Source organism: Homo sapiens, chromosome 4 (assembly GCF_000001405.40).
Source record: "Homo sapiens chromosome 4, GRCh38.p14 Primary Assembly".
NCBI classification, from domain to species: domain Eukaryota; kingdom Metazoa; phylum Chordata; class Mammalia; order Primates; family Hominidae; genus Homo; species Homo sapiens.
The window spans coordinates 118953940-118961865 of record NC_000004.12 but is presented as its reverse complement, the minus strand read 5'-3'; the positions used below and the strand labels follow the sequence as shown (position 1 = coordinate 118961865).

The 7926-nt window shown below is 40.0% G+C and overlaps 1 protein-coding gene across 5 annotated transcripts in view; it reads right to left on the bottom strand.

The window, feature by feature from the left end:
- Nucleotides 1-7926, bottom strand: part of SYNPO2 (synaptopodin 2) — a 210567-nt gene that overhangs the window by 99382 nt on the left and 103259 nt on the right. The window lies entirely within an intron of this gene.

Sequence of the window (7926 nt, the reverse complement as noted above, 5' to 3'; positions counted from 1 at the left end):
AAAAACAAAAAACCTGCCTTCCTGGTGATACATTGCATCACTCTTGGCACCAAACATTTTAGGAATACTTAGTTATCTTCTATTGTTTTACATTTGTATGTCCGTGATTTGACAAATATTTATTGAACACTTACTCTGGGCCAGGTAGTAGTCTAGATGCAGGCAGGCAGCAGTGAATGTGAAAGACCTTAGAGAGCTTTACGAATTTAGAGAGAAAATGCTAACAATAAACACAAAAAATATAAGATAAATTAGAGCTATATAGGAAGTTAAAAATAGACTAACGTGATAGAGCAATGGGTGGAGGCTGCTCTAGTAAAGGTCGTTGGAGAATGCCTCTCTTAGGGGATACTATTTGAACGGACACCTGAGTAATGAAGACGCAGAGATGCAAAGATTTAGGAAAAGTATGTTTCAACCCAAAGTGAGAACATAAGGCTCTGAGAGGTGGGCAAGCTTAGCATGTCTGAAGAATGAAATAAAAGCCAGCGTGTCTGGACAGAGGTGAATGAGAGGAAAAGCCAGAGATGAGGCAGCAGAACAAGGCAGATCTCAGCTCCTGTGGAATCTGTAGGCTGGGGTTTCTCATCCTCGGCACTAGTGACATCTCATTCTCTGTTGCGGGGGGATATTCTGTGCAGTATAAGATGTTCAGCAGCATTCCTGGACTCTACTCACTAGAGGCCAGTAGGTTCTCCCTAGTAGTGACAAGCAAAATTGTCTTCAGAAGACATTGCCAAGTGTCCCTGGAGGGGTGGGGGGGGGGCGGTAAAATAGCCCCCAGTTGAGAACCACTGTTGCAGGCAAAGGTAAGAAATTTGAATATTATTAGGGGCGATAGGAAGCTAGTAGAACATCTTAGGCATGGAGGGATAAGAACTGAGTTAAACTTATGCTAGCTTCTGCGGAGAAAGGTAAGAGGAAATTTTGGCAGGGAGGAAATTAGAAGGCGACTATAACAGCCCAATCAGACATGATGAACTAAGGTGGTAGCCAAGAGGATTCATCTAGGAATTAGGCGGAGGGTGGTAAGAAGAAGGAAAGAATCAAGTATGCTGCTTAGACTCTCTCCTGGAGCCATGGAGTACTTGGGTCTAATCCCCAAGCCTGAGACATTAATGTCATTTACTGATAGGGAAGACTTGCAAGGAGATTTGTGAGCATAGGGGTTAGAAATTAAAAAATTATCCTAGCCATATTAAGTTTGAGACGCCCATTAGATATTCAAGCGGAGATGTCCAGTAGGCAGTTAGATGTCTCAGTATGGTACTCTGAGAAGTCAGGATTGGAGATTTAAATTAATGAGTCCCCTAGAGATGGAATTTGAAGATGAGAGATTAGATACATTTACCTAATATATTAGTTTCCTGCCACAGGAAACTAATTTTACAATTTTACATTCAATTTACGATTTTACCATTTTACATTCTCACCAGCAATATGAGCTAGTTTCTCCATATTCTTGCTAGTATTTGGTGTTGTCACTAATTTTTATTTTAGCAATTCTGATATGTATGTAGTGATATTGTCATTATTTTAATTTGCATTTCTCTAATGGCTAATGATGTTGAATATCTTTTAGATCTGTTTATTTTCCACCAGGATGGAAAATAACAAATGACTGCAAACTAGTGGCTAAAAACCACAGAACATTTTTTCATTCACAGTTCTGGAGTACAGAAATCCAAAATCAAGGTGTCAGCAGGGCCGCATCCCTCTGGAGACTAGGAGAACATTCACTTCTTGTTTCTTCCCACTTCTGGTGGCTGTCAGCAATCCTTGACTTGTGCCCTTGTGGCCACATCACTCCAAGCTCTACCTCTGTGGTCACATTGCCTCCTACTCTTCTATCATATCTTTCCTATGTGTCTCTTACAAGGATAGAACCCACCTGGATAATCTAGGCCCTCTCCAGCGCAAGTTCCTTAATTAATTACATCTGCAAAGGCCTCCGTCCCAAATAAAATAACACTCACAGGTTCCAGGAATTAGGACACAAACAAATCCTTTTGTGGGTCACCAGTCAATGTACTACACCGAGGGAGACAGTATAGCTAGAAAAGACAAAGGATAGAGCCTCGGAGATGCCAACAGATAGAAGTTGATAGATAGCTTTGTGCTGGGCTAAGTGAAAAAAAGAAAAAAGGTGATAGAGGAGGAATGAATGAGGAAAGTATGGCCAGGCAGTGCAGTGGTCACAGATGACCAGGGAGAGCGAGCCTCTAGTTCATGTTTCTTCTGAATCTCCTAGGTTTCTTGGATTTGCCCCAGAGAAAGTACACAAATACTCCTTGAATTGAAATAAATGTTTACAGTGATCTTTTTAAAAAGCACATTGTTCATGCCATTTAACTGCGTTAGGATTGGAAAAACCCACGGGTAATCACCCACATATTTATTGCTTTAGGTGAGCACCTGGAAAAAGTGAGAGAGAAGAAAAGCCCTTTTTTATTTTGTGCCAAGTTTTTACTATAATGGTAACCATCACTCTTCTTTTAATTCTTCATTCTCAAGCCTACAAAGGGCGAACATTTGAAACCTATTTAGCAAATTCTTTGGAACTGGCAGCAAACGTTCAAAGTTAAGTTTAGGATCCAAACCTCCGTGATTGGTCAGTGAAGTGAAAGAGGTGGGGAGTAATGATTCAAGGAACCTGCTTTCCTTTGATGTCCTGATATGGTAATCGGGAATATATCTTGATGCAATTAATATACTTCACTCTTGGGGAAAATAAGTTCATTGTCTTTCTGTAAAAATAATAGATTGAGTGTTACCAACAACTTTGTAGTCAATACATGTTGCCTTTACTAATTGATGAATAAACAGATCCTAAAATCCTTTGAATAGAAATATACCATGTAGGGTCAAAATGTCATCTGTCTTACCATGTAAACATTGATACCTTAGAGAAACACATTTTCAATCAAAGTAAAATTGGATTTATGGGCCCAGAATGCAGAAACATTGGTCTTGCCTCCCTCCCCACCAAAAAATCAGAAGTGGTTCCTTAGAGGCTAGAAGGGCACCATAGAACTTAACGCTCAAAATCTCTATGGGGAGCCATCTGAGGGAAATTTTCAACATTTCTCCTAACCAAGTCACCTTGCTCCTGGAAGAAACATGACGACCAAAGCAGTCTGTTTCCTGAGATGGCTGAAGACTATAGGAGGAGGTGCAAAGAATTTTCCAAGGTTTCCCTCTACTCACACAACTGTGGACACATTGCAACGCAGAGTTACTCAGGATCATCATCCCATCCACTGGAAATGGATCAGGGGTTGCAGTGTTGTGCTTTTGACCCCCCTCCTCCATTGCCCACCCTCACACCTACCCACCACAAGATCCCAACGGGTAAACACAGTAACTTAAGACCAAGACCTGCTTGTCTAGGTCCTTAAGCCTCCCAAGCAAGTATGAAATTTGTTAAATCACGGACTCTTTAATTCATTAACTTGGTGTACAAAGCTGAAGAAATGCATATTTCATACACGAAATAAGAAGACTTGAAGTAATATTACATATCTCAAAATATTTGAGGTTAAGTTTCATCTGCACTTTCCTCAGGCTAAATCACCCCGCCCCCAACCCCAACATACACGCACCGCAGGCATCCAAACCAATATTCTGACTTAAGAAAGTATGTGGATGGACTAATGCGAACATAAGACACATATTTTTTGAGATGTGAGAAGGATGAAAACAATGCCCACTCTTCAAAAATGCTAAGAGTAAAGTCCCTTGAAAGATGAAAAGTTAAAGCAGAAGAAGTGTCAAGACATTGCTGAGGCTAAGAAATGAGCACAACTTGCCAAAAGTCAAAAGTTCAACAAGCAGCTCTTTTATGTGTCTAGAGAATTAGCTCATCTCAGCACTGTGTTCTCCACATAAGTGGAGGGGGATTTTGGCAAGAAAAGTGGCTGCATATTCTTGACTATTCCCATCAAGCTCTGACGGGAGTGAGCAGCCATGGGTTCCAGTTCAGGCTCTGTGACCTTTTCACGTTGTGACTGAAACAAGTGTTTGCCTCTCTCTAAGGCCCTCTCTCTCCATCTGCGAGATAGGAGTAATAACAGACACGCTGAGTCATTTACAGGTTTGTTGTGAGGATAACATGTATTAGTGGAGATGGAAGAGCTTTGCAGAAGTTTGAAGATGCAAGTCATTTTATTACATAGTGAAAGGCATCAGGATGGAGACCTTGTGACACTATTTAAGGCCCCATAATCAGCTAGGACAATCAACATTCTTTCAACTCCTAAAACAATAATTAGAGTAGCTACCATGTATTTAGTGTATCCCATGAACAGAGTATTTAACAATAATCTTTTATTTATGGTTATTATGTCCACCTTTACAGATTAAAAAAACAAAAAGTCTGAAGAGGTTACGTGACTTTCCAAATCACAATTCTGGTAAATGGAGAGGGAGGGAGGCTATATCCAGATCTGATTCCAAAGCACATACTCTTACACAGTAGGTCATACTGGCCAAAGACCAGTGAGATGTGCAACATGGCCCCCAATTGCATGGGTGGGTGTGTTGACAGAACCCAGTCTACCTCTTCTCTTAACTAATCCTCAATAGATCTTTCAAATTAGAAGCATTCAGTAGGTCCCTGCCATGGAAGATCACAGAGAACATCCCTTGGGAGGAACCTCCTGTGTTTGTGGGGAATGGCTTTTCCAAATAAAGACCCAAGTTTCCAAGATCCATTAAATGGATGAGATTTGCCAGTGCACCCTTGGGGTTTATAATGCAAGTCCATAGCTTCTTATCACCATGTCACTTTTTTTTATTTTTTTTATTTTTTTTATTTTTTTTGAGATGGAGTCTCACTGTGTCACCCAGGCTGGAGTGTACTGGTGCAATCTCAGCTCACTGCAACCTCTACCTCCCAGGTTCAAGTGATTCTCCTGCCTCAGCCTCCCAAGTAGCTGGGATTATAGGCACCCACCACCACACCAGGCTAATTTTTATATTTTTAGTAGAGACGGAGTTTCACCATGTTGCCCAGGCTGGTCTCAAACTCCTGACCTCAAGTGATCTGCCCACCTCGCCCTCCCAAAGTGCTGTGATTACAGGCATGAGCCACCGTGTCCAGCCACCATGTCACCTTTTTGCCTCTATTCTCTATGTGCCTAAGGAAAAGGATATCAGAGTGAAAGCCACCCAAGCTCTACAGTTCAGAGACCATTTGATTTTACTGTGAGTTACACTTACCTCCCCAACTCCCACCAAGCTTTCTTCCTCTTGCGTTCTGAATATAGTGACTGCTCGATAAGCATTGCTGATTAATTGCCTGGCTAAGAATAAGGAATAATTGATTTACCCAATAGGAAATAATTTTGATTTTCACAAAATAAAAATAATTACAGTTAAAAAAGTTAAGTCTACTTATGTATATGCTATGTAATGTGAGTTTGCAGATTCAATTGTCTTTTTCTATGTTCTCATTCTCCTTTTTCTTCCTGCAACTTTTGGAACGGTTGACCACAATAGTTTTACCTTGAAACCATTTCCTTCATTAATACCCATGAAGCTTATGCTATCCTGGTTCCCCACAGCCTCTAGTTTTAGTGACTTTCTGGTTACTTTTGTAGACTTTTCTTTCTACTCTTCACACATGGACATTACCTAAGGTTATGTTAGCCCCCCAGTTTCTCTTTAAAATCAGTTCTTATTTATGATGATGACTTCCAAATCAGTGTCTTCAAAACCCCAATCTCTCCTCTCATTTCCAGTTTGTATCTACTTTTTCTTTGGATTCCATCTAACTGTTACCCAGGCTTAAAATTTTTGAAATAATCTTTGATGTTTTCCCTTAGGTTTTCATAACCACTCAGACAATTCCTACTAATTTTCCCTTAATAATATTTCTAGGATTGATGCCTTCCTTTTATTTATTTAACACATATCTATTAAATTCTAGGCCCTCATCTTGAAAAATGCACCAACTTCCAGGTAAGGCTCTGCTTCCTTTTTGTTATCCTTTATTTCTCTTGCACTCGGTTGCCAGACTAATATTCCCTCAAACATTTTTTTTTCATTTTCCCACTCTTGTTCTTGACCTCTTCAGACAACTCTGCTTTGTCTATGAAATGAAGTCCACATTCTTCACATGAGAGTCACATCATTGTAACATCTGGATTTAAGCAACTTTTCTAAATATATCTGCTTTCTCTACTTGAGACTGTTGCTCTGGGCACACTGGCCTTCCCACTATCTCCTATAATAATGCTTTGTATATTTCGGCTCAAACCTTTCTTCCTGCTGAGAATGCTTTCTATCCGCTACTTCTCTCATCCAATTCTGCCACTTTAGAAGGCCCAATTCAATAGTTTTCTTCCTAAGAATCTTCCCCTGATTACCCCAATCCACAGTAAAACAGGTAGGGGAAATGCATACTCTATATCTGCAGCTATTGCTATCTTAGAGGCCATGTGCCATCTAAGTACATAATATTGTGGGACAGTTCATATTGCTGAATTATCATTTCTATTTAGATTTCCCATTATGTTTCACTTTCTCTGAGGCTAGAAGCAGTTTGGCATGTTGTTAAAAAGCATGGAATCTGAATCCGGCTCACACCTGTGATCCCAGCACTTTGGGAGGCCCAGGAGGGTGGATTACTTGAGGCCAGGAGTTTGAGACCAGCCTGGCCAACATGGCAAAACCCCATCTCTACTAAAAATGCAAACGTTACCCAGGTGTGGTGGTGAGTGCTTGTAATCCCAGCTACTCAGGTGGTTGAGGCAGGAGAATCACTTGAACCCGGGAGGCAGAGATTGCAGTGAGCCAAGATCACACCACTACACTGTAGCCTAGGTGATAGAGTGAGACTCTGTGTAAAAAAAAAAAAAAAAAAAAAAATTGCACAGAATCTGGAGTCAGACTGTCTGGTGCAAGTCATTGTTTATTACCTGTATGGGCTTGGGCAATGTATTTTACTATGCCTAAATTTCCTAATTTGTAAAAATGGGGATCATATTATACCTCCCTCATATACTTATTGTGTGGATTAAATGAGTTAATCTGTGTAAAGTGCTTAGAACAGTGTTGGCACATAAAGTACTTTGTAAAAGCCAGCTATTATTCTCCCTCACAGACTCCCTTGTATATAGCTATATAGACAGAAAGAGAGAGAGAAAGATAAAACCATATTAGACAATGGTTTTTCAGATAAATCTATATCTGAAGGATACTTGATCAACTAACCAGTCGATTTGGAGAATGTAAAAATTTCATCTATTTCAAGAATACAAATAAGTATTTTCCCCCTGTGGCTCAGTTTTATGCCTGAATTATGCCTAGTGTGGCTTCAGCATGGGCAGCAGACTTATTTTCAGTCAAGACTTTGCCTAAAACTGAAATGCCCATTTTTGGTTGAACATCGTTTCACATTTGAGACCTACATAGTCCCTAGATGGCAATGCTGAGCCCATATGAAAGGGCACTTTGTATTACCATTTGTGTGCAGTTTGGAAGCAGGCTCTAGGACTTTTCCCATGCATAATCTTTCTGGAGTTACTGGAAAAAAAAGAAAGAGCGAGAAAAAAAAGAGAAAGCACTCTTAAAAAATGAAGATATTGAAGGCACATTTGGAGGCAAATTGTCAGTGTTTTAAGTGACTTTTTGTTTTAAAGATACAGACTACAAAATATGATTACATGAAAACCCATATATTTAAATCTTTTTAAAAACTGAAATGAAAGTACAGCTTTGTAATATAATAACTGTACTGTATCATGAAACCTGTATGTGAAGAACATTGGCAATTGCCAATGTTAAGAGAAATTAGGTGCAAAACTTGAGGAGAGAGCAGTCCCACATAGACAGACATATGCTAAATATCAGGAGGGCAGAGATAGACAAGGACCTGCAGAAATCATGGCCTTCTGGGGTAGAGGAAGAGGAAGCACATGACAT